This window comes from Homo sapiens, chromosome 18, assembly GCF_000001405.40.
Source record: "Homo sapiens chromosome 18, GRCh38.p14 Primary Assembly".
NCBI lineage: Eukaryota > Metazoa > Chordata > Mammalia > Primates > Hominidae > Homo > Homo sapiens.
Genome location: NC_000018.10, coordinates 23,161,056 through 23,188,216, shown reverse-complemented (window position 1 = coordinate 23,188,216; position 27,161 = coordinate 23,161,056). Strand labels below are relative to the sequence as shown.

The following is a 27,161-nucleotide window of genomic DNA, read 5'->3' as shown; positions in this document are numbered from 1 at the left end:
ATTGCAAACTGCCTGCTAAAACCTCTCTAGTCTACCAGTTTCTTTTGCTAGGCTGAAATAAGAACAGGTCCTAGTTAACTAAGAATATCAGGTACAGGGAGCAGGGTAGGGTGGTGGTAAGTTTACATAAATCTACTTGAACAAAGACCATCATTTGATAGTAAATGATTTGGCGGAGCAGGGATGGATTGAAAAAGTTTGGGTTGTTCCTTAAAACGGAACTAAAAATATTAAGATAAGTCTATTTTTTACTACATTTGGCAAAACATAGCCTAGGAACATGCAGTCATAACCATGTTCTAATTTGCCCTAATGAACAAAGAATGAAATGACTTTTTGGTGTTTTTTTGTTTTTGTTTCTAATTTTGTGTGTACTTTTTCTGACCAACTACTCTGATACCTTTGGCTTGTTTGGCTTTTCTAAGACAATCAGAAAGGTCATTTTTGTAGCAAACTATTCAACAGCTTCATCAATTTTCCACCTTTCATAATTTTTTGATGCTCAAATCCTTTAAAAAAAAAATACTTGTGGCCAGGCACGGTGGCTCACGCCTGTAATCCCAGCACTTTGGGAGGCCGAGGCAGGCTGATCACCTGAGGTCTGGAATTTGAGACCATCCTGGCCAACATGGTGAAACCCTGTCTTTACTAAAAATACAAAAATTAGCCGGGTGTGGTGGCGGGCGCCTGTAGTCCCAGCTACTTGGGAGGCTGAGGCAGGAGAATGGCGTGAACCCGGGAGGCAGAGGTTGCAGTGAGCTGAGATCGTGCCACTGGACTCCAGCCTGGAGACAGAGCGAGACTCCGTCTCAAAAAAATACTCATCATACAGCCTCCTTGTCTCTTCTCCAACTGTAAAACAGCAGAACATAGAACACTCTCAGCTCCTCACTCATCAATGTGTGTGAACCAAGCACACACATCGCCCTCTGTGTTCATGACATACCGGACTTTCTACAGAAACTGTAGTTTCACTCTGCAATTAACTAACAGTGAATTTCCATTTCAGTAATATTGCCAGATTTCTAAGAGTCAGCCAGAGCTATGGAGGAGGCACCAGTCTTACCTGAGAGCAGTGCAGAGGCGAGCTGAGGAGGTGGGGAACTGATTTTACAGGTAGCCAGTTCATGAGTAGACAGGACTTCCCCGCACAGCCCCGTAACTCAGGGGACAGAGCTTGCCTAGACCCCTGTGACAGCACTTGCAGCTGCAGCTCTGAAGTGCCTGTGCTATGGGTTGAGACACAGCCCTCTGAAATCCCAGTTAATCCTAGGAAAGCAGGCAGCGAGCCTAGCCTCTCTCCAGGTGCTGAGTCCCAGGCTGGACTGGGGGAGACTCACATCTGCCCATTGCAGATCTCAGCAGCAGAAACCCCATGTTACCCATCCAGGGTGGTGTAATTCTACACAGGAGAATGCCTAGGGCCTAGAATCAGACACTGAAATTGCAATCCTGGGGTCCAAAGGCTGTGGGGTCTGAGAAAGCTCCTTAATCCGGCTGGGCATGGTGGCTCACACCTGTAATCCCAGCACTTTGGGAGGCCGAGGTGGGTGGATCACCTGAGATCAGGAGTTTGAGACCAGCATGGCCAACATGGTGACCCATCTCTACTGAAAATACAAAATTAGCCAGGTGTGGTGGTGCATGCTTGTAATCCCAGCTACTCGGGAGGCTGAGGCAGGAGAATCGCTTGAACCCAGGAGGCAGAGGTTGCAGTGAGCCGAGATCAAGCCACTGCACTCCAGCCTGGGCAACAAGAGCAAAACTCCGTCTTGGGGAAAAAAAAAAAAAAAGAAGAGAAAAGAAAGCAAGCTCCTTAATCCTTGACCCTCAGTTTGTTCATCTATGAAATGGGAAACAACAATTAACTGAGAAAGGGACACATGTGAAGTCCCAGGCCCAAGGCAGTTCTTAATGAATGGGAGCTACTGGGCTTTTGATTGACACTCCAGTTTCCTTCACTGAGGCTGCACCCTGACCTGCACCCCAGCTCAGCTGACCAGGAGCAGGCTGAGTGTCCCAACTCTAGGCTCTGGCCCCCACTCAAGGCCTTGCCAGTGGCAGGGTCACCCCAAAATGCCTTGTGCCTGAGCCCACCCAAGATGCGTACATGTTCCTTCCACACCTATACCCACTTCAAAGCACAACTAACTCTGTGCATGTACACAGTGGGGTGCACTGAGAAGCACAAGTCATACTCACTGATGTGCTGGCCACCTATAAAATTAGTGGCCCCCATGTCTCCTTGCACTGCTCTCAGGTCTCCCTACAGCCAGAAGGCAGTGATGAAAAGATTTACTGTTTATCTCTGTATGATGCTCTGAGCTTTTAAATCCAAAGTAAAACACTCATTTAAGTATTTACTTAAATTAAGTATGCACATCCAAATTGTCATTAGGGATAACTTCCACAGGCAGAAATAAATGTATAGGCTTCGGATCCTGAGAATCTCGACACGTTCTGTCACACTTTGGCCTTCCTTTGTAGAAGAGCATTTTCAGGTGACCAGTAAATAGGCAATTGATGTTTTGTTCAATCTGCACCCAGGCAAGTGAGGTGATCATGCAGAAGAAGGGCTGAAGGCTGCCCTCCTTCAGGTACCCTAAGGAGCCCTGGGGAGGCCCTGGGTGGGCTCTTCGGGCAGCACAGATGCTGCCCAGGCTCTGGCAGAGCCCAGAGCCCAGACAGGCAGGTTCACCTCTCCATGCATCCACCCCCACCCACTCAACAATGTGACCGTGAGCCCTGTCAGGAACACACAGCTGAACCAGGCTTGCCTCCTGTCCTCAGGGGCTGAGAGTCACGTGGGGATCCATGGGACGGCCACCAGGAAGTCCCATTAACAGTCTCTGAAGCCCCTGCGTCCTTCAGGGCTGTGGTGTGGAGAACACTCCAGCTGAGTCCCACAGTGAGCACAGAAGGCCCTGCTAGGAAGCACAGACTCCTCCAACATCCACCAGTGTGTTTCACCCTAGAAAATCAGGCCCATCCACAAAAGCACACGACCCAATAACTCCCCTCTCACAAAGCCGTAGCCACCTCTTCCTGCACCAGAAACGAGAAAGGCTCATTTGGAAAAGAACCAGATGAGAATATACCTTTCTTTACAGTTATAAGGGTTTTTCTAAAACCCAGCATATTCGGTAATTCCCCTCAGGAGCTGAACAGGTGTGAATTCACACACACACATTATTACAGATTAAACATCTGTGTCCCCTCAAAATTCACGTGTTGAAATCATAACCCCCACTGTGATAGTATGAGGTGGTGGGGTCTGTGGGAAGTGATCTGTCATAAGAGTGGAGCCCTCATGAATGGGATTAGTGCCCTTGTAAAGGGGACCCCAGAGAGCTCTCTAGCTCCCTTTCTGCCATGTGAGGACACTACAAGTTGGTCATCTGTAACTGGAAGAGCCCTCATCTGACCCCAACCATGCTCGCACCCAGATAGTGACCTAGCCTTCAGACCTGTGAGAAAATACATTTCTTTACTTTTTATTTATTTATTTTTTTCTGAGACAGAGTCTCGCTCTGTCACCCAGGATGGAGTGCAGTGGCACAATCTTGGCTCACTGCAACCTCTGCCTCCCAGGCTCAATCAATTCTTGTGCCTCAGCCTCTCGAGTAGCTGGGATTACAGGTGCGCGCGACCACACCCAGCTAATTTTTGTATTTTTAGTAGAGACAGGGTTTCGCCACATTGGCCAGGCAGGTCTCGAACTACTGGTCTCAAGTGATCCGCCTGCCTCGGCCTCCCAAAGTGCTGGGATTATAGCCATGAGCTACCATGCCCGGCCGAGAAAATACATTTCTATTGTTTATAAGCCATCCAGTCTTTGGTACTTCATTATAGAAGTCTGAACTCAGACGGACCTACACACACACACACACACACACACACACACACACGTGCCAGTATGCAAGGGCACACATTAGCACGCATGGGCACTTCTGATCAGGACTCCTTAAAGGGGAAAAAATCCACGCCCAAATGCCCACCTGTTCCTTTAACTTCAGCAGATGTACTTCCCTTCTTTGTGAATGGAACCAACCAGTATATTCTGAGACAAAGAAGAGAACTTGGAACTACCACCAGTCACTGTAAAGAAACCATCCTGTGGTACCAGCAAACAGCAAAGGATGCCTGCCCTTCCAGCCAAAGATGAGGACCTGTTCCCTGCCTCAAGGGTTGCCCTGTGAACTGGTAGTGTCACTCAGCAGCGCTCATCTCTGCCCCACCCCCACACCTTGCTGGATCCTCCCAAGGTATGTCGTAGTGTCTTCTCCCTCACCTTCTAACCCCAGAAAGCCTGTAATAAACAAAAAGCCTCAGGGCGGGCGGCCAATCTTAAACAGCCACTTTTCACTCTGTAATTTCCCTCATAAATTAAGTCCATTACTATGCAAACTCCTTATCATTATAGACTTAACAAGCAGAGGTCTTTGCATATTTTAATGACTGACAAAGAACACTTAGCCTTGGACCAAAATAGCAGGCTGACCAAGTAGACATATGGTAAGAGACTGGCAGGGTTCAAAGCAAGAGTAATATGCACTGACATCATCAGATGGAAGTGTGTATGTCTAGTCTTCAGACTGAATGTACACTCAGGGCTCCCAGACTTGTCTGACAGTTACAAGTTAGATCCTTCCACACTGGCCACACTTTGGAGTTCATGCTTAATGCTCATGCGTAAGGCAGCCTCCTGAAAGCACCCACGCCTGTTTTACAATATCCTTGGAATGCTAAGCAAGGAAGTCATAATCCATGACAACACGACTGCACATCTGGATATTCCTACGTGGACCAAATTAATCCACTCATCATGAAGGGAAAACGGTTCCTCCGTGGGTGCAAATCACTGTATACTCCCGGGACGCAGGGCTGGTCACAAGGGTACTGTTAGAATAAGTTCACTTACCCTGAAAGCTTAAGGAAAGGTCACTTGGGGAAGAAGAGAGGGGAAAGAAAGTACACAGAAGAACCTGTGGCTGGAGTGACAAAGCACTGGGAGAGGCAGGCCCGAGGGCCAGTATTTCTAAAGTGACTTTTATGCAGAAAAGGGTCATTGGACCTATTTCCAGGCCAGGAAGAGAGGCCAACCATCCACACTGATGAGGGGACGCAGGCCCAGAGGCCTGACCATCCCGAAGGCCCTCCTCACTAATGCTCTGTCGTCATCCTGATTTGCAGCGACTCTGAGGACCCCGGAAAGTGAGAGGCAAAATGGAGCTGTGTGTGGTCCAGGTACCTTCCTCAGCTCTGTTGGAGGTGTCCTCTCTCCTGAGCCTGGTAAGCAGAGTGCCCTGAAGAAAGCGCTGAGAGACAGGTGAGCGCCTCACTGCTGTCCCTGCCAACCAGTGAGGGTGCAGCAGTGTCATCGTGGGGCCTGGTGGGGCAAGCTGATCAAGGCCAATCCCCTATGCAGTCACCTGGGGCAGCAGCTCAGTCCGAAGGACAACGTGAGGCAGTGGGCACCCAGGGGAAAGCTCTGGCCCGAGAGTTAGGACCAGCCCACTTCGTGGAAGGTGACCCTTGGCCTCAGTCTGCTTCCAGTATGAAATGAGAAAGTAGCGTAGATTGATGCTCTCAACGCTGTCTGCACATCAGAATCCCCAGGGAGCAACAAAATCACCAAAGCCTGAGCCCACCTTGAGATTCTGATTTACTGGTCCGGGTGTGGCTGGATAAACGGGGTTTTAGACACTCCCGGGGGATTCTAGTGAGAAGTACAGTTGAGTCCCATTGAATAGCTCCAGTGTTCTGTGCAGGCCAAAGGCGGGTGAGAACCTTCTCCTAACATTCCACTTATTTACCTTACTTTCCTGCATCAGCAAACTTGGGATGGAAATGATCATAACCAACCTCCAGATAATAGGTGGTCTCCTTTATCCTTGAATGAGGAACTTTTAAGGTTCAACAAGCAAGAAGAAAGAGAGCTAGTTAGCCTGGAGCACTGAGGCCCGCAAAAGACCAAAAGGCTTTCAAGTATAAACAGGTGGATGATATGTATAATATATGCACATTACATGGGTGTGAAGAACCAGTTCTGTGTTCTCTGAGAGCAAAACATGAGCTCTGAGAGCAGAAAACGACTTGGGTAAATACCTGGGCCAACCACCTCTCTACTCACAAAAAAGGCAATTTCCTTAATGGCTCTAGTGTTCCCCATGGGTGTACCCCCCTTCCTGGCTGCACGCTGGGCCACTGGATGGCACAGTTGCTTCTTCACAGGTGTGGAAGAGGTGAGAGTGTCTTGGATACCTCAAGTACACAGGTGAGGAAGGAGCTGAGGTCATGATTACTTCACATCTGTCCAGACAGTTATTATGACCAAATAAACCCCAAGCATAGAAACAACTTATTAACACAGTCACAAGACACCCAAAAGCTTGTCATTATTTGCTTTGGTACTTATGTCTTTCTCTCACTCACCAACCTCCCTCTCCCAAACAAAATGGAAACACCCTAGAAGTGAGCTGCTTGGGAGGGGCCATGCTGTCACAGCCTGTGTGTTCCTAGGAAGGGACCATGCTTGGCCAACAGCAGGTACTCAATCATGGCTGGCTGAATACAGGAACAAATTCCCCTCACCAGGTAGGTGGGTATTCCTGGACTTTTCCCAGAGAGCACCTGACCTTCTGACCTTCCATTCAATGCTTTTCTATACACAATTATTAGTGGGCATCTTTTTTTTTTTTTTTTTTTTTTTTTTTTTTTGAGACGAAGCTTTGCTCTTGTTGCCCAGGCTGGAGTGCAATGGTGTGATCTTGGCTTACCACAACCTCTACCTCCCGGGTTCAAGCAATTCTCCTGCCTCAGCCTCCCAAGTAGCTGGGACTACAGGCGCATACCACCACATCCGGCTAATTTTTTTGTACTTTTAGTAGAGATGGGGTTTCACCATGTTGGCCAGTCTGGTCCTGAACACCTGACCTCAGGTGATCCACCCGCCGAGGCCTCCCAAAGTGCTGGGATTACAGGCGTGAGCTGGGATTACACCGCGGCTGGCCTAGGGCCGCTTTCTTTAATACATGCATTCCCAGTCTGGTCAACAGAGTCCAGAAATCCTCCTCAGCTTCCCAATGCCCCAGGACAAGGAGGTTATGGGTAAGGAGTCAGGGCTGGACAGCAAGAAGTCCCACTTCAACCTTATAGACTCTGGGAACCTACATGTTCTAGCCTCCTTTACCGACTTAGTCACCAAGCCTCAAGGAGCCCAATCAGGACCCAGCAAGAAAAGGCTTGGGGCATATTAGCCTAGAAAGCAGGGTTGGCCCTTGAGGCAACTAGAAAATCCCTTTTTTGTTACAGAATCTCTGACTTTCTGGGCGGAAGCCTCCATCCCCTGCTTCTTGCATCCCTCCATCCCCCCACCACAGACATAATCTTTTGCTCTTGAAATGGTGTTCAGCTCATGCAGAAAAGGTGTCCTAAAAAGTAGGGTACAAATCTGTAGTTTGTAACTGTTTGACTATGGAAGCCTACTACTTAAAGGAGCCCTAAAATGAAAAACTATATATAAACCCAAGAATTAAAATCAGCTGCGCTTAGTGGCATGCACCGGCAGTCTCAGCTACTCAGGAGGCTGAGGCACGCTTGAACACAGGAAGTCGAGGTTGCAATGAGTTATGATCGCATTACTGCACTCTAGCCTGGGTGACAGAGTGAGACCCTGTCTCTACAAATAAATAAGTAAACACATAAGCCCAAGAATTGTACTATCATGTGTATGTCATTTGTGAAATGCTGGTTTTCAAATACTAGGCTCTCTTAAAGGAAAATGCCCCTCCATCACCCTATTGTTATTTCCTTCATTTCCCTAGCAGCATCTTAAGCTGTTGACTGCCACAGCACCATCAGCCTGCTCCTCACATTCATCAGATAAGTGATGATAACATTGTTCGTGAGTTGGCAAACTTCAATGCCAAGATTCCAGATGCTCCTCCAGCAGAAGTCCAATCAGACTGCGCTCACTTAAAAAAAACAAACTGTTGGCCAGGCGCGGTGGCTCATGCCTGTAATCCTAGCACTTTGGGAGGCTGAGGCGGGTGGATCACGAGGTCAGGAGATCGAGACCATCCTGGCTAACACGGCGAAACCCAGTCTCTACTAAAAATTAAAAAAAAAATTAGCCGGGCGTGGTGGCGGGCGCCTGTAGTCCCAGCTACTCAGAAGGCTGAGGCAGGAGAATGGCCTGAACCCGGGAGGCGGAGCTTGCAGTGAGCCAAGATTGCGCCACTGCACTCCAGCCTGGGCAACAGAGCGAGACTCCGTCTCAAAAAACAAAAAACAAAAATAAAAACAAAAACAAAACAAAACTGTTTCACCCTAGTACACGTGTTCACAGATGAAGAAAAAAAAGTCAGCTGCTACCTCTTAACAGAAGATACACAGACCCTTAAAGCAAAACGGCCTTCCCTTCAGCCTGAGGACACATCCATTAGACACATGCTTTGTTTTGTTGTCCACGGATCTAAAGCTTTGTCCAGCAGCAAAAGTGCCGATGAAAGTAAGCATGGCCCTTACTGCTCACCTGGCAGCAGCTGCTTGTTAGACCCTGGAGGAACTCCAAGAGGAGAGCCACAGAGTCTGACACTACAGTGGCATACTGGCCGGGCCAGGTCACCAGGCTGGGGTGACTGGAGGAGCATTTGGTCTTGACCAGTCAGCCTGATGCCATCCATACCTCTGAGCACTGGGCACACAGCTGGCTTGGAAGGAAAACCTCCTCCCCGAGCCTCAACTAACACGCTGAAAGCCAGATCCATATCCAGAATACAGACCAAAGGAATTCAAAATCCCTGGGGTGGGGGAGTCACTGGGATTTTTCTTGTAAAGGAAGGAAGACAGGATTATCTTTAAGAAAAGGAGGGATGGTTAGATTTTTTTAAATTAGACACAATGGGAAGAAACCGTTTTTTCTTTATTTTTTTAGACGGAGTCTCTGTCTCCCAGGGTGGAGTGCAGTGGCGCGATCTCGGCTCACTGCAACCTCTGCTTCCTGGGTTCAAGCGATTCTCCTGCCTCAGCCCCCTGAGTAGCTGGGATTACAGGGACCCGCCACAATACCCGACTAATTTTTGTATTTTTAGTAGAGACAGGGTTTCACCGTGTTGGCCAGGCTGGTCTCGAACTCCTGGCTTCAGGCAATTGGCCCGCCTCGGCCTCCCAAAGTGTTGGGATTACTGGTGTGAGCCACCACGCCCGGCCAAGAAACTGGTTTTGAATCTGGCTATGTTTTAAAGTCTCCAGCTGATGAATCAGGCAAAAACCAAATTAAAATCAATACACTAGAGTTGCCAATCAGCTTGTTCAAATAAGGTCTGTTTCTACATTTTCATAGGCGGGTCAAGAAAGCGACTCTCTAAATGTTTACAGAGAATACAAAAGGCTCTTGGCTTGCCTGAGTTTACTTTTGTTTCAAGGGCTCTCATCAGACTTGCCAAATCCTGAAAAATCAAGGTGTGAGGTTATCTTGGTATATGGGGCTATTTAGAGCTGACAGGAACTGCTGCTAGGATTTAATAGCTGGCCAGAAATTCATCCCCAAAGATCTCCCAGTCTACCCTGCCCACTGCTGTCCTGCTAATCTTGAAAAACACTCTTTCCCTCATGTCAGTCCCTACTTGAAGATCCAGTGATACCCCCTGGGAACAAGTTCAAACTCTTTTGACAAAGGGTCTAGAGGGAAGGTCAGAACACAGCAGCAGACACAGCACACCTGGCCGCCATGAAGGTACATGCCCAGGGTCCCTGGACAGCCTTAGGGTATCAGGACATCAGGCGGCCAGCCCAGGGTCCCTGGACAGCCTTAGGGTATCAGGACATCAGGCGGCCAGCCCAGGGTCGCTGGCTCAGTGGCAGTGCTGCATTCTAATTCATACTTGGCCTCGTCCCAGAGGGAGGGGCCCTGCCCTGCTGCTGTAGGGGCACACAATGGAATACGCAGAAGGGTAGAACCAGGAGAAGCAGGTACTGGGTACTGGTTGAAAAAAAAAAATCAGGATCCGAAAAGGTTTTGTGTGGCTGATGAGATAAACCGCTTTGATCTTGCTACAGAACACATTGGATACTCATGGAGGGGGTGGGGAAGAAAAGTGGGGGCCCAGCCAGGACAGGATATGGGTGGGAAGGGAATATTGGAAAGGGAAAACCACTAGAAATAAAAGGGCCAGCTTCACCCTAGACAGAAATGCGCCCTATGCATCTAAGTCCAAGGAGTTTGCGGCCAACTTACCTATGTTCTGAATGGGCGTCAGGCTCCAAGGAATCAAATCCAGGCGTTCTCTGCAAAGGGCTTCCCTGAGCCGGGCAAGGAGGGTGGCTGGGAATGCAGCACCTGGTCCCATGGTTTAAGGATACTGTGGAGTGTGTCCACACCTGGAGGCCAAACCAGGTGTGGAGTACATGGGGGAGCCAGGGAGAGCCAAGGTTTTAATTGGGAGAGGAGAAGAGAGTACCTCTAACAGAGGGAGCAGGCAGGCCATGGCAGGGGGCCTGAGGGGCTTCCTACATGCACCTTCCCAGAGCCCAACAGGACAGGACAGAACTGGGACTCGGTGAGGCATAGGAAGAATTCCTCCCAGCAAAGTCCGGCCCCAGGAAAAGAGCCCAGCGGGAACCAGGAGACAGACAGGCTCGCAATCAGAGGGCCAGGCTTGGCTCCAGGAGGACCCGGACAGAGACCCCAACAGCCAAGTGGACAAGCTGACCACACATAGACCGGCGGGGCTGGGGCTGGTATCACAGCACAATGAACGTGTGTGTGTGTGTGTGTGTGTGTGTGTGTGTGTGTACACATGTGCTCACACATAGCACCTTTCAGTCTCACACCCGAACACAGGAGGTACAGGGCTACGAACACTTCAGGGCTTACATGGGTGAGCAAGTGTGTGGTGCAGGGGGCCAGAGTTACCTCCTTAGACAGAGGCTGAGCAGAACTCGTTCCTGAGACTTGGTCTGACGGGGCCCCGAGCCTGACAATGGCCTGTGCTGGAGCCGTCTCGCTTCCTCCCCAGTCACTGTGAGGGCTCACTGGTGCTTTGGAAGAATGCCTTTACCTGCTGAAGACTTTCTAAGCCAGATACGCATTTATTTTTCCTTCGAACACAAGACAAGGACCCTCTGTGCCTAGCTCTGTGGGATTTGAAGAAGGCGAGGGAGAACCGAACCTTGCTGGAGGGACACACTCCTGTCCCTTCCTCCACAGTCAGGAGAGAACGGAGCTAACTTCATTAGAACCAGCAGGGGCTCAGGCGGGGGTCCTCACATCCAAGCTGGTGTTTACCGGACCCTTCAGAGGGCTGCCCTCCTAGGGAGGACGCCAGTAAAACGCTCCCTGGAGTCTCCCCCTTGGTGTCCAGCATGACCTTCCTCTGTTCTGAAGGGCCTTCAGCAGGAGTGGATTTTGACAGCTCAGAAACTGCATGCAATTATCTATAGCAAAATCGGATTGATGGGGCTTTGTGAATCCTTATTTTCTAGGAGTTTTTCAGGTTAACTGTGGCCCACACTCAATAGTGGTTTATGGAAACAAAGACTGATGCCTCTTCCTTGTCTATCCGAATTACCTCAGATTCCTTTCTGGAAGCCTGCTGAAAAAAATGCCTGCTTCTCCTTGGCTACCCATGTTTATTCTCTTCACTGGAAGCTGAATGGGGATTGGGTACAGCTAAATTGACGGCCTCCAAATAAAGGGTTTATGGCATAAGGCAGGGGTCCCCAAGCCCCAGGCCATGGACAGTACTGGGGTCTTACGGCCTATTAGGAATGGGGGCCACACAGTAGCAGGCAAGTGGCGGGCAAGCAAGCATTACTGCCTGGGCTCTGCCTACTGTGAGATCAGCGGGGCATCAGATTCTCACAGGAGCGCCAAGCCTATTGTGAACTGTGCACTCGAGGGATCTAGGTTGCACACTCCTTTTAAGAATTTAATGCCCAATGATCTCAGGTGGAACAGTTTCATCCCGAAGCCATCCCCCCACCCCCAGTGCATGGAAAAATTGTCTTCCAGGAAACAGGTCCCTGATGCCAAAAAAGGTTGGGGACCACTGGCATAAGGAATGCCCAAATGTGGCCAAATCTCAGTTCAAAAGAAAATTCAGAATCTGCCTCACCCTCTCGTCATCCACCCAAATCCTACCTTCCTCCACCTGCTCTATGAAGCTGTCCCTGACATTTTCTGAATTCCTACAACATTTGGTATCTTTATTACATTTGGAAATATTCATATCTAAATACTTGTAGATTGGTTGACTTTATTCTTTTTTTTTACATTTATTCATCTCCAACCTGACAGCAGGTATCTTGAGGACAAATAACTATGTCTTTCTTTCTTTGAAACCCCTTCAATGATTAGCACATTACCTGGTACATAGGAGGTGCTCAATAAATCCTTAAGTATAGCAGGAACAACTCCACAGGGTTGGCTCAGGAGGAACAAGGGTGTACCTTAAAAGCTCCAGGGGACCAGTAGCAGTGGCTCATGCCTATATTCTGAGACTTTGGGAAGCCAAGGTGGGCAGATGGCTTGAGCTCAGGAGTTTGAGACCAGCCTGGGCAACATGGCAAAACCCCCATTTCTACAAAAACTATGAAAATTAGCTTGGTGTGGTGGCGCATGCAGGAGGATCACTTGATCCCAGGAGGTAGAGGCTGCAGTGAGCTGTATTTGCACCACTGCACTCCAGCCTGGGTGACAAAGTAAGACGCAATGCAAAAAAAGAAAGAAAGAAAAGAAAAAGCTCCAGGTAGTCATTTTACCATTTTTACTCCAAGACCTTCGGCAAGCCAGCAGAAGCCCAGGAATGAGGTCAAAAATGAAAGCCAGGACCTTAGAAATAATCTAGAACACTGATGTTCAAACTTCTGAGCAGCAGAGTGCTTTTTTCTCCCAAATTAAACCTTACACCAAATCCCAAAATATAAATCAGATTAGAACAATTATACATTTTATAAACTTGAGAGTATAATATTGACTTATATCTCAATCACTGTTAGAGCAGTGTAGCTGTTTTGAGGTACAAACAAATCTAAAACCAGAAGCTCTTAGTGACATTTCTAGTCTAAGGTCAATCTCAGAATCTAATTTGTTTCTTTTGGTCTTGGTTGTACAGTAAGGATATAATCACCATTGAAAGAGATAAGTGGGTGCCTGTGGTAACCATTTTTAAACATGTCAAGGCCCAATTCAATTTAACGGATGTGGCAGGTGAAGCGTAACTGCAAAAAATCAACTTAGGCGGCAGCGTGAGTTAACTAATGCATAATTAGTTAATTAATGCATAAGTCACCAGTATGTCAGGCTTTGCTATAGAAAGCTATCGAGTTTATTTTACTGCAGTTTAAAAAACATATATATATATATATATATATATATATATATATATATATGGTGTAACATGTATATACATACAAATTATATTCCAAAATGTTAAACACAGGCCGGGCGCGGTGGGCTCACACCTGTAATCCCAGCACTTTGGGAGGCCAAGGTGGGCGGATTACGAGGTCAGGAGATCGACACCATCCTGGCTAACATGGTGAAATCCTGTCTCTACTAAAAATGCAAAAAAATTAGCCGGGTGTGGTGGTGGGTGCCTGTAGTCCCAGCTACTCGGGAGGCTGAGGCAGGAGAATGGCGTGAACCCGGGAGGTGGAGCTTGCAGTGAACTGAGATCGTGCCACTGCACTCCAGCCTGGGCGACACAGCGAGACTCTGTCTCAAAAAAAAAAGTTTTAAACACAGAGTCACCCCATATGACCAACAATCCCACTCCTAAATATAATCAAAGAAAGATGCCAAGATACATCCACACAAAGACATATACAATGTTCACAGCAGCACTGTTCACAATAGTCAAAAATGTGAAAACCCAAATGTGATGAATGAATGAAATGCAGTATTATTCTGCCATGAGAAGGAACGAAGTACTGATACATGCTACAACATGAACCTTGAAAACATTATGTTAAGCCAAAGGAGCCAGTTACCAGAGACCACGTCGTGTATGATTCTACTTATATGAAATGTCCAGAGTAGGCAAGTCTATAGAGAGAGAAAATAGATTCGTGGTTGCCAGAAGCTGGGATCCGAGAGGGGGAGGAATGGGAAGAGACTGCTAATAACCATGGGATTTCTTTTTGAGGGTGAGGAAAATGTTCTAAAATTAGATAGTGGTGACAACTGCACAAGCTTGTGAATGTACTAAAAACCACTGAACAATAACTTTATTTTTTATTTTTATTTTTCGAGACAGAATCTCACTCTATTACCCAGGCTGGAGTGCAGTGGTGCGATCTCAGCTCACTGCAACCTCTGACTCCTGGGTTCAGGCGATCCTCCCACCTTGGCCTCCCAATAGCTGGGACTACAGGCACATGCCATATCACACCCGGCTAATTTTTGTATTTTCTGTAAAGACAGGTTTTGACATGTTGCCCAGGACAGTCTTGAACTCTTGAGCGCAAGCGATCCACCCACCTCGACCTCCCAGAATGCTGGAATTACAGGCATGAGCCACTGCGCCCAGCCAAAATAGTAACTTTAAATGGTTGGTATGCAAATTATATCTTAGTAAAGCTGTTAAAATATTTATATGATATATAAAGTTTACATATGTAGAAAAACATATGTTGGGAAAAAATATACAGTAATAATGAAGCACCAAATCCCAAAATATACAACAGATTAGAACTGTTTTTAGACCTGCTAAGCCCTTGCTAAGATCCTTAGAGCTCCAGATAATACAATTTGAAAACTATGGATCTGGTTCAATTTCCTTTTACTGAAGCTTTGGAGAGGTTCAGACATGTCCAGGGAAGAGCTGGATGGTTGGGAGGGCAAGAACTGGGGACCAGACACTGTCATTTCAGAGCCATTCCCTTTCCTTTCAAATGTGGGTTACAGAGGTCCCGCAGGTGTCTGTGCGCAGCAGGCAGCAGGTTAGGCTTGAAGGCAGAGACCTGGGCAAACCCTCCCAGAGCAGGGCCCGCTCAGCACATCGACAGATGCTCCAGCACAGGCTACCTGGTGCTCCATCCCCAGCCACCCATCAGAGCCGCGTGTCACTCAGCACCTGCTGACAGCCACATTTCATCCACCCTCTCTCTCCATCTCTCCAAAAAGGAAACCTCCTTACTGCACACATCAAGGTGCCGTTTGGAGCTCTGAGACTTCCATTTCCATAACCTCCCATCTCCCTAACCTTTGGCGTAAGACATCCTTGCAAATTGCTCCCTTTTAAAAAGCCTGATCCAGTTTTCAGGAGAACTCACAAGCACTTCAGTTATCCAAACGGGAAGACAATACCCCAATCCGAGGTGCTTCCATCGGCCTTAGCAGAGGAAGTTTAATTTTTTAACAGCTCGCTTGGAAATATATTATTAGTGCATCTGCCTCACCGTATTCTTAATTAGCCACCACAGTTCTAATTACCAGGCTGTTCAGGAAGGCTTTCCAAAGTGAATTTGCAGCATGAGAGCTGTGCTTAAAGCCACGTGAATATTCACTTGGATGCAATGTGGATTCCACTGCTATTGGACTCTTCAAAAAAGTCTATGTCAGAGGTCTGAATGGACCCTTTATACCAAAGCTTTGGTTACTGTGGAAAATAATATATTCTTAACAACTAGGGAGGGTAGGGGAGACATGGTTTTCAACCAAAGTTTTCAGAAAGTGACTGGGTAAAATAAATGCAATTGACTACCACTGATTTTCCTAAGGGTGTTTAATGGTGTCCTTCTTTAGAGCAAGATCCTTCAACTGGGATCTCTCGACCTCTTGGGGATCTGTGGACCTTCTAAAATCAGATGCAAGGTGTGTGTAAGTGTCCATTTCCCCTCTTATCTAAAACAGAGTGTATGATCCCAAGAAAAGATTAGAATCCACTGTGAGAATGCAAAGGATGGAGGATGGGTTAGCAGAGGTAACGACAGGAACAGGGAGGGCAGGGTTCAGATCCAACTCTGTCTCTACCGTGTTAAGATGTCATTGTCATCACTGTCACTATCATTACCTACATATGAGTATTCAGTCCTAGGTGTCACAGATACAAAGAAGTAAAAGAAAATGTTCCAGCCTGGGCAACATGGCAAAATCCCACCTCTACAAAAAATACACAAAAAGTTAGCCAGGTGTGGTGGCACATGCCTGTAGTCCCAGCAACTCAGGAGGCTGATGTGGGAGAATCACTTGAGCCCGTGAGGTCGAGGCTGTGGTGAGCTGTGATCATGCCATTACACCTCAGCCTGGGTGAGACTCTGTCTCAAATAAAACCGAAAAAAGAAACATAAGGCTTGGTCCCTGTTCTAGGTGGCTCATGGTAGCTCAGAAAGGTTAACCCTTTGGTCAACACTCACAGGCCAGAGCTCGGAATGCAGGCAAGCTCTGAGCTGCCTGGTTTGGCAGGGATGTGAGGCTGATGGGGTCACGGGGAAGCAGAGTTCCTCTAAGGACGCAAGTCGTGGGTGAGTGACCTATGAGCAGCTGTGGACTCTGTGGCTCCGTTAGATGCGAGGGTTATCAGAGGGTGGCAGGGGTCTTGGAAAAAGAGAGACAACAGTCAAAGCAACATGAAAGAAGAGAAGAGGTCCTGCTCTGAAAAACAGGCAGATTCCTAAAGATCTCAAGGAGAAATACCACCACTTTATCAAAAAGAAAAAAAGTGTTACAAAACAGACTTTGTAAAGCTTTACCAAGACATGAGGCATGGCTAAGGATAAGCAGGGCTGATGAGAATGGTGCAGACCATGGCAAGGCTCAAGGCACATGGCCCCTCCTTATCCTCCATCACTCTGGGACAGAGCTCGTCACATTATAAACTCACTCATTGATGCATTCAGTCATCCACCCTTCATTTGCTAAGCACCCACTACAAGGCACCGTGGAATCCAGGATGACTAGAGCAAAAGCCTTGCCTTTAAGAACAATCCGGTGAGGAGACACACTAAGAGTTCATTATAAAACAAAGGCGCACTGACTGGTGTTACGGGAACAAGAATGGAGGACTCCCACCCAGGATAGGGCCATGAAGGAGATGTGGCCTGGATCTACAGATCACGTTAATGAAACCCATTAGCACTCCCTCCCCAATAACTTAATCTCTAAAGGAAAGAACAGGCCGGGCGCAGTGGCTCACGCCTACAATCCCAACACTTTGGAAGGCCGAGGCAGGCGGATCATGAGGTCAGGAGTTCGAGACCAGCCTGGCCAACACAGTGAAATGCTATCTCTACTAACAATACAAAAAATTAGCCAAGTGTGGTGGCGGACGCCTGTAGTCCCAGCTACTCGGGAGGCTGAGGCACCAGAATCGCTGGAGCCTGGGAGGCGGAGGTTGCAGTGAGCCAAGATTGCACTACTGCACTCCAGCCTGGGAGATAGAGCAAGCCTCTGTCTCAAAAACAAAAACAAAAACAACAAAAAAACAACCCTCAACCTTCTTTGCAGCCAACACTGTGGGAAGTCAGTCTTAACCTATTCTTTCCAAAGCAGACTTTCACAACGCCCTTTGAAGCTGAAGCTGTCAAGAATCAGGAGGTGAAAAGCTCATTCTGAGGCTGAACTGCGACTATGAAATTGGCTCTGAGATGTAATGCCTCATAGTCATCAAGAGCCCATTTTCCTGGGTTCATAAAACCCCAGCAGTCTGGCTTCTGCTATGAGACCAATAAAAAGCATAAGGGGCATAAATGGACCCAACGCCCATGCACACGCTGCTGGAGATGGCTAGGGTGTGTGGTCTTGGAACCCAGAAACACGTCAAGCTCAGAAGCAACCCTGCTACCAAACCCTCCAGAAGCCAGAGGGCAGGTGTGGATGGAAGGGGACTCTGTTCTGTGTGTGGTCAGACATTCCTTCGCACAGCACGAAGGCTCTTAGGAAGGACAACAGGCCACGTCAAAAACAGGCAGGCCCTTGTTACATGTTTATATTTCCTTTTGGGAACAATTTGCGCCATGCACTCTGCTAAGGGCTTTACAAACATCTTGGCATTCTCACAACACCCTTGTACATGAGTACTATGCTGACTCCTTTTGCAGATGGAGAAACTGAGGTTCCAACACAATATGTACATCCACATGGCCGGGGGATGGAAGATATGGATAACAACGTCTCTGCTAGACATTCTGAGGTCCCGCTCTTAGAAGGACAGCAGTCTGGCATCTCTGCCCTTCCAGAGCAGGGGGAGCTGAGAGGGATAGGGCATTGCTGGGCAATCCTACCCCCTCCCACGCGGCTACAGCTCCCACCAAGTCCAGGCAAGCATGAGCCACCTGCCCTCCGGCTGCCCATGACCCCACACAGTGGCGGACTCCAATTACGGGAAACACGAGGTTTTCAAAGGAACCTCAGGAGAGCCTCAGCAGCTCACACACACCACTTCAGACCCCTCATCCCAAGCAACAGGGCACCTATCCCACAGCCTTTCAAATTCTGATGAGGTCTCCAGAAGCTTGTTTCAAAGGAAGTGAGGCTCTTTCACCGTTTCTGCTGCTGTGTTAGAAAGCAAGCTCTTTTAGCTTCAAACAGCTTCAAAGTTTATTTTCAAATGAAAGTTATCTTGCCAAAGAAATAAAGTTTTACCCACTGGGGAGGAATGACTTGGGTTTAATGCCTTGGTTGAGCTGGGGGAAGGGGCTTCCCTCTTGGCACCATTAACATAAGAAATAACTGCTTTGCTGACAGACCAGGCACTTCTCTGTGAAATGTCTGGTGTTTCATGTCATATGTTTAACCATAATAGCGGGTCTTCAGGTGGCTGGGACCTAGTGGACATAACATATCATGCATACTTACATTACTGGAAAAGAGTCCTGATCCAGACCCCAACAGAGGGTTCTTGGATCTCGTGCAAGAAAGAATTCGGGGTGATTCCAGAAAGTGAAAACAAGTTTATTAAGAAAGTAAAGAAACAAAAGAATGACTACTCCCTACACAGAGCAGCCCTGAGGGCTGCTGGTTGCCCATTTTTATGGTTATTTCTTGATGATATGCTAAACAAGGGGTGGATTATTCATGCCTCCCCTTTTAGACCATATAGGGTAACTTCCTGACGTTGCCACGGCATCTGTAAACTGTCATGGCGCTGGTGGGAGTGTAGCAGTGAGGATGACCAGAGGTCACTCTAGTGGCCATTTTGGTTTTGGTGGGATTTAGCCGACTTTTTTACTGTAACCTGTTTTATCAGCAAGGTCTTTCTGACCTGTGTCTTGTGCTGACCTCCTACCTCGTCCTGTGATTTAGAATGCCTTAACCATCTGGGAATGCAGCCCAGTAGGTCTCAGCCTCATTTTACCCAGCTCCTATTTAAGAAGGAGCTGCTCTGGCTCAAATGCCTCTGACACTTAGAAGAATTCTGCAAGGTTCCCTATTAGTACAAATGGGCACTCACACAGGTCTGATTGCTCTTCTCCAGCACCCAGGGCCTCATCAGCAGGGACATGGAGCGAGGAGCTTAACAGGCCTGAGTAGCTCCGGAGGGAAGGAAGTGGAATGGCCGCAGGACCCTTCTGCCAGGCTCCACGTCCACCCTAGCCTGGGACGCAGCTTTGCTCCATGCCCTGTTTTTGTTTTTTATTAAAATGGTAAAAGATACATAGCATAAATCTACCATTTTAAGAGTATACAACTTAGTGGCATTGACTGCATTTACATTGTTGGACAGCCATCACCATTATCCACCTCCAGACGACTTCATCATCCCAGGCTGAAACTCTGCACCTAGTGAAGAATACTCCCCATTTTCCCCTGCCCTCACCCCCAGCAGCCATTATTCTACTTTCTGTCTCTATGAATTTGACTATTCGAGCAGATTCCACTCACAGAAGTGGAGGCACACACTGTTTGTCCTGTTACTGGCTTGTTTCACTCAGCAGGTTTCCAAGGTTCATCTGCGTTGCTGCATGTGTCAGAATTTCTTTCCTTTTTAAGGCTAAATCATACTCCGTTAAGGGTGTATACGTCATTTTCGTGTATCCATTCATTCCTCAGTGAATACTTTAGACTGCTCCCACCTTTTGGCTATTGTGACTAAGGTTGCCATGAACATGGGTGTGCAAATTCCACACCTGCTTTTTCCCTACTCTGAAAGGGCAAACTAGTGTCCACCCCATCAGCTGCCCTGGGGTTGGAGTTGCCCTCAGATCGCCCTGAGGGGCCTCCAGCATGAAAGGAGTAGGGTCAGTCCCGGGAGTTCCCACCAGTCCTGCCCACACAGCTGCTGGCATCACCTTGAGAGCCGTCAGCTCAGCTCCATGGAGTTACAGCAACCTGACTGCTGCATTTAAGCGTGTGCATGAACCGAAGGGCGCGAGCGCCTGCATGCCCTGTCTCCTTCCATGCCAATCTAGGGCCCCTCCCCCAAACATCTGCCCCTTCCCTCCAATGAGGCAGAGCTACCTGCCGAGGCCCCCAACGACCTGCAGCAAGCCTGGCTTGGAACCACCGCTTCCCACCCACCCCTCCCTGCTCACAGACCCCTCCTTGCTCCCATGGCCTCCCGGGCTTCACTCTGTTGCAGCCTGGTACTGTCAGGTGGATTTTCTTGTCTGGCTCTCCCTCTTGATTTAGAGCTCCCTAGGTCCAGGGCTGTAACTCATATTAGGTGCACAGTAAATGCTGCTGAATGTCTGAACAAACCAAAGCACAAGGTACTCCCCCCAATCCCCCAAAATAATTAGCACCTAATCAACACCACAGAAATTAGAAGCAACAGAATCTAACTAATATGATTTCCATATGGATGACATCTTGTTAGCCTTTTACAGTATATTTTGAATGAGCTAATGAAACTGCAAAAAGAGGCATGTGGTGAAACAGACCTTGAATTTCCAAACAGCTTTTGAAAAAACTGGCCTGTAGCTGGACCCTAGGGAGCCTGATCATTCTCCACTGGGGGAGGTGAAGAGCGTGAGGGGCCGAGTTCCTCCAGCCACATGAGGAAAAATCCAGGAAGTCTCCCAAAGCAGCCTGGAAAGTTTTCATTTTTTTTTTAAATTTAATAAAAAAAGATGCAGAATTGAAATAACCATTAAGCAAACATAAAAATATTAAAGCACACTCCCAGGAGATTAGGGGAAATAATTTCCGCTGATGATGATCTTGAGATTAGTTTTATCAAGTGAATGAAGCACAAGGCAGTGAGTGAGTGATCCGGTTGCTATTTCCAGCTTCCCCTCATCCTGGTTAAGTTGTTCAGAGCTGGCTTCCACTCCTTGCTTGTTTTGCTATAAAACGGGGGAAATGCCACCCTTCCTCCTCTGTTACAACCTTCAGCAGAGAAATCACGCGCATCACAGAAACTGCAAGACACCCCAACTTCTGATGAGGAGCCACCCTGGGAATTCCGTCTGCTCTTATGAATGGAGCACTCTGCACTCATGGCCACCTGCTGAATGGGGTCTGACGACAAGGGAGGATGCTCACAATGTATGAGTTAGTGAAGAAACGACACTGATAACATAGTACATGCTGTTTGATCTCTAATTTTAAGAACACTAAATATGTATATATACGGCACAAAAAATTATAACTGACAGAACCTAACCCACCTGTGTGTGCGTGTCCTACACTAAAACATTAACTGGTCATCTCTGGGTGATAGGTTTATGCGTAATTTGAATTTCTCTGTTATTTTTCCTAAATGTTTCATGCAAGTATTCCTTTTTGTTACCAGAGAAAGAAAAAAATACATAGTTTAAAAAAATGTTGGCCAGGAGCGGTGGCTCACGCCTGTAATCCCAACACTTTGGGAGGCCAAGGTGGGCAGATCACCTAAGGTCAGGAGCTCAAGACCAGCCTGGCCAACATAGTGAAACCCAGTCTCACACTAAAAATACAAAAATAGCCAGGCATGGTGGTGGGTGCCTGTAGTCCCAGCTACTTGGGAGGGCTGAGGCAGGAGAATCACTTGAACCCAAGAGGCGGAGGTTGCAGTAAGCCAAGATTGCCCCATTGCACTCCAGCCTGGGCAACGAGAGTGAAACTCTGTCTCAAAAAAAAAAAAAAATTGCATTCATATTATACATAGAGATATAAATACATATATATGTATACTGTTATGGTATTCTGGTTAGTATTAAAGAAACAGTTGACAACATCATTGAACATAATAGGTAGAAGGCCATGAAACAATAAAAGATTAATAAGATGACTACTTGCGATTTAGTAACTTCTTGGTCCTTGCCTGCACACCCACACCCTGCTAGAACTGCTGCTTTTCTGCGCACAGAAGATCACTCATTTCCCTTGAAATGGGAGTGTCCAGGCATCATGTTTGATGAAGGAATCACTGCATTCAAGTCAGCCATCCCTTTCCCTTTGTAACTCACCCCTACATGAGAGATCGCTTTCTGATAGATGGGGGAGGAGAGGACGAGTTTTAGCACACTGTGCATCTATGCTCATAGCGGCATCATTCACAAGAGCTGAAAAGTGGAAGCAACCAAGTGTCCATCGAAGAATGAACGAATAAGCAAAGTTTTGCATATACAGATAATGGGATAATATTCAGCCTTAGAAAGGACATTCAGATGTGTGCTACCATATGAAGGACATTATGCTAAGTGAAATAAGCCAGTTACAAAAGGACAAACTCTGTGATTCCACTTAGATGAGGTACCTCCAGTAGTCAAATTCATAGCAATAGAAAGCAGAATGGTGGTTGCCAGGGACTGGGGGGGCAGGAGGAACAGGGGGCTATTTAACCCGCACAGAGTTTCAGTTTTGCAAGATGAAAAGGGTTCCGGAGAGTGGATGCAGAACAATGTGAATGTATTCAACACTATGAACTGTACACTTAAAATGGTTAAAAGGGCCAGTCACAGTGGCTTACACCTTGTAATCTCAGTGCTTTCAGAGGCCAAGATGGGAGAACTGCTTGAGGCCAGGAGCTTGAGACCAGCCTAAGCAACATAGTGAGACCCCTGTCTCTATAAAAAAATAAAAAATTAAAATTAAAAAATTAGCTGGGTGTGGTGGCATGCACTTGCAGTCCTAGCTACTTGGGAGGATTGCTGGAGTCCAGGAGTTTGAAGCTGCAATGAGCTATGATCACGCACCACTGCACTCTAGCCCAGGAGGCACAGTAAGACCCTGTCTCTAAAAAAGAAGAGAAAAAAATGGTTAAAAGAATAGTTAAGGCCGGACATGGTGGCTCATGCCTGTAATCTCAGCACTTTGGGAGGCTGAGGTGGGCAGATCACCTGAGTTCAGGAGTTCGAGACCAGCCTGGCCAGCATGGTAAAACCCTGTCTCTACTAAAACTACAAAAAGTTAGCTGGGCATGGTGGTATGAGCCTGTAATCCCAGCTACTCAGGAGGCTGAGGCAGGAGAATCACTGGAACCCAGGAGGCAGAGGTTGCAGTGAGCCAAGATCATGCCACTGCACTTCAGCCTGGGAGACAAAGCGAGACTTTGTCTCAAGCAAACAAAAAAAGAATAGTTAAGAGATAAATTTTTATATGTTTTATCACAACATATCAAAGATAAGCTTTGATATGTTTCATCAAAAATTTTAAAAATTAAAAAAAATTATCCTGCAAAAAAAAAAAAAGCTTTAGTGTGGTGGTCTGTACTCTCTGCTCAATTTGATTTGCAGATGCATGGAGCAATATCTGGCACACAGAAATCCCTTTTCCTGACATCACATCATGCCTGTCTTTCAGTGGGAGTGTGGTCTTTGGTTACACTTAACATAGGAAAAGAATTGCATTTCCACCTGTGTAACTGATAACATGGGCCCAGACACTTAAAAAAAAAATACCAAGGAACACACTGGCTGGTGTGCCTATACGTGGCCCTACACTGGGGGCTGATGGCGGGGCCCTGGGAGGACACCATCAGGGTCAGGCTGCGGGCCTTGTGATGATGGGCACTGGCCCACGTCGACCCGAGGAGGGACCAACCAAGATTAACACACTGGCTCCGGATGACAACACTCTGTAGGCTACGGAGAGCTAGGTGAATCCTAACTTGCAAAGTGAAATTAATCACTGATGCTGTCTCTGGATGCTACATAATAAAAGAGCCTTTAGATACTTCAGGGGAAAGTGATATTTTGAACTGCATTAAGTTTCTGAAACAATTATACTTCTTTACAAAGGGGTGTGATGAAAGATCACCACTGTGGCCACAGAGTCCTAAGCACAGCATGGCACAGTAGTTAGGAACCTGATCCTGGAACCCACATAAGTTCTCAGTGCTGGGATTTTTGATAAGCTCGATAACCTGTCTGTGCCTCAGTTTGCCCATCAGTAGAATGGGGATAACAGGGCCTACCTTATAGGCTATTATACAGATTATATATGTTAATATTTTTTAAACTCTTACTTTTAAAATACTAATGAACAAAAACATTTACACAGCAAAAGCTATTTGGGAGAGCCACGCTCCTCCATGCGGGGAAGGAAGGTTCCAGCCTCAAGGAACTCCCTCCACTAAATAACCATAAACCTCTTCCTGGTGTTAAATGACCACAGAGTCAAGTAGTTTCATGTCACTATAAATCCATGCTCACCAGTTAAAGATGGCCACTCCTCAGTGCCTGCCAGCCTGCTATATTTCTGTATCCACTCTCTGTCCATGCTCCCAAAATGCTACTCATCCTTTCTTCTCTCTCCTCCAATCCTCTCCCCAGCCCCTCTTCCATCCTTTCTCTCAGCCCCCCAGGCTTCCCTGACAGCACCCTGTGCCTGCTTCTCCTCCCACATCCAGGCTACCCTGTCCTGGTTTTGTTGCTAGGTGCTCTTCTACTCAACCTCTCGATACGGAAGACCCTCCAGGTTGGACTTTTCTCATCTCTCTGTCCCCGCTCCCTGGGTGATTTCCTCCTCACCTTTGGCTTTGAACATCATCTACATACTGATGATGCCTAAACCTGTTTTTCCAATCCGCCTTGCTCTGAAGCTCCAGGATCCCACATAGCCAAGTGCCTTCCTTAAATCTCCACGTGGCATCCTCACAGGCAGCTCAAACTTCACTGCCAAACTCAACCTCTTCTTCTTCCTCCTCCTCCTCCATATTAAGCCAGCCCCCTTCAAACTGCCCCATCTCCATGGTACCAGTGATCTCCAAGAAGCCAAGTCACAAACCCAGGAGTCCTTTTAGCACCACCCTGCACCCCACAACACAGCCACCTTCAGTCCATCACCAAGGACTGTTGTCTATTTCTGAAATACACCTTAATCCTTCACATACCTGCCCACCAGCCCAAGCTGCCATCGTCTCTCCTGCCTGGTCTCCTGAGCAGCCAGAGTGAGCTAACTCTAACTTGTTGCTCTGTCCCTCAAACCCACTATCTTCTCATTGAACTACGAAATACAAACCCTTGGATGAAGTCCACAGGACATGAACAGCTTTGCTTCCCTCTTCCCGCTGCTTATACTCCTCGGCCACACTGGCTTCCTCCCCAAAGGGACTCTTACACCACATGGCCTTGGAACACGTCGCAGTTACCTCTACCTGGAACTCCTTCCTACCCACTTCTCAGGTGCTGGTGGCTTCTCCTCTGGCAGCCTAAGACACCACCTCCAAGAAGCCTTCCTTGACTTCACCTGCTTGTTCTCTCCTCCTCTGTTGTTCTTTTGAAATACACGTTCTTTTCTTCCACGGCACTTAACCCAACTTTACCCATATTTTTGTTTGTCACCTACAAGGACTGTAAGTTCCCTTAAGGTGAAAACCAAGGATATTTGGTTCAACCCTCTATACTCACCCCCTTGCACATGGTGTATGCTTGATAAACATCTCCCGAAAGAATGAACTGAATGAAAAACACGGTCAGGTACTGTCAGATTTATGCCTCCCTTCAGCTGCCTAGGTTTATAAAAGGATATCAGGACATCAAGCAACTGGCTGTCTAAGCTAATAATGAATGTCTTGGTTAAAGAGAACACAGCATTTTATTCTATACTAGAAAAACTTTCTTACGAACAATTTCTTGAAGTTTTCTTGGTACTTTAAAATTGTAGGCCTTTATGCCTTATGTGAAAAAGAAACAATTCATAAACACCTGTAAAGCATGATTCTCTTTGTTGTTTTTTTTTTGAGACAGGGTTTTGTGCTTGTCGCCCAGGCTGGAGTGCAATGGTGCAGTCTCGGCTCACTGCAACATCTGCCTCCCGAGTTCAAGCGATTCCCCTGCCTCAGCCTCCCAAGTAGCTGGGATTGCAGGTGCACGACACCATGCCCAGCTAATTTTTTGCATTTAGTAGAGACAGGGCTTCGCCATGTTGGTCAGGCTGGTCTCAAACTCTTGACCTCAGGTGATCCACCCGCTTTTTTTTTTTTGAGACGGAGTCTTGCTCTGTCCACCCAGGCTGGAGTGCAGTGGCACAATCCTGGCTCACTGCAAGCTCCGCCTCCCGGGTTCACCCCATTCTCTTGCCGCAGCCTCCTGAGTAGCTGGGACTACAGGTGCCCACCACCACACCTGGCTTTTTTTTTTTTTTTTTTTTTGGATTTTTAGTAGAGACGGGGTTTCACCATGTTAGCCAGGATGGTCTCGATCTCCTGACCTTGTGATCCACCCTCCTCGGCCTCCCAAAGTGCTGGGATTACGGGCATGAGCCACTGCACCCGGCCCCGATTATCATTTTTAAAAGAAGTATACATAAATGCAGATACATACGTATGTTAGGCCTCAAACTCCATGGGAACACAGCTGATGTTCATCTCGTGTGCCTTGGTCCAGTGTTGGTCACACAGTATGTGTTCAAGAACTATGGGAGGGATGGATGCAAGAAAGAGGGAGCCCACCCTGGGAGTCAGTGCACCAAAATTCATCAGTGATGTGATTACAGATGACTTGATTCACTACTTTTTAATTGTCACTCACTTTTAACACAACTGTAATTTAGATACACTCTTTCTGGAACACAGCACCCACAAAACACCAGTAAAGTGTTTTAGAAGAAGATAGAAAGGCAAGACATGATAAAGAGAGTTGTTTTTTAATATTTTCTTTCTTTCTCTTCCTCTCTCACTTTATTCATTTATTTTGAGAGACAGAGTCTCCCCTCTGTCACCCAGGCTGGAGTGCAGTGCTGATGATCATAGCTCACTGCATCCTCAAACTCCTGGCTCAAGTGATCCTTCCTCCTGGGCCTCCCAAAGCACTGGGATTACAGGTGTAAGCCACCATACCCAGTTGTTTTC

At 47.3% G+C, this 27,161-nt stretch overlaps 1 protein-coding gene across 4 annotated transcripts in view, besides 3 other annotated features; it reads right to left on the bottom strand.

The window, feature by feature from the left end:
• Positions 1-27,161, bottom strand: part of CABLES1 (Cdk5 and Abl enzyme substrate 1) — a 125,907-nt gene that overhangs the window by 72,254 nt on the left and 26,492 nt on the right. The gene's annotated exons all lie outside the window — the stretch shown is intronic.
• Positions 4,845-5,344: an enhancer, noted in NCBI's record as "H3K4me1 hESC enhancer chr18:20762837-20763336 (GRCh37/hg19 assembly coordinates)". NCBI's record gives its function as "activates a minimal SCP1, AML or CMV promoter by ChIP-STARR-seq in naive H9 embryonic stem cells {active_cell/tissue: H9 hESC(naive)}" and the evidence as "EXISTENCE:reporter gene assay evidence [ECO:0000049][PMID:30033119]".
• Positions 7,531-7,580: a silencer, noted in NCBI's record as "silent region_9355". NCBI's record gives its function as "represses an Ori minimal core promoter by ATAC-STARR-seq in GM12878 lymphoblastoid cells {active_cell/tissue: GM12878}" and the evidence as "EXISTENCE:reporter gene assay evidence [ECO:0000049][PMID:35858748]".
• Positions 18,023-18,956: an enhancer, noted in NCBI's record as "OCT4-NANOG-H3K27ac-H3K4me1 hESC enhancer chr18:20749225-20750158 (GRCh37/hg19 assembly coordinates)". NCBI's record gives its function as "activates a minimal SCP1, AML or CMV promoter by ChIP-STARR-seq in naive H9 embryonic stem cells {active_cell/tissue: H9 hESC(naive)}" and the evidence as "EXISTENCE:reporter gene assay evidence [ECO:0000049][PMID:30033119]".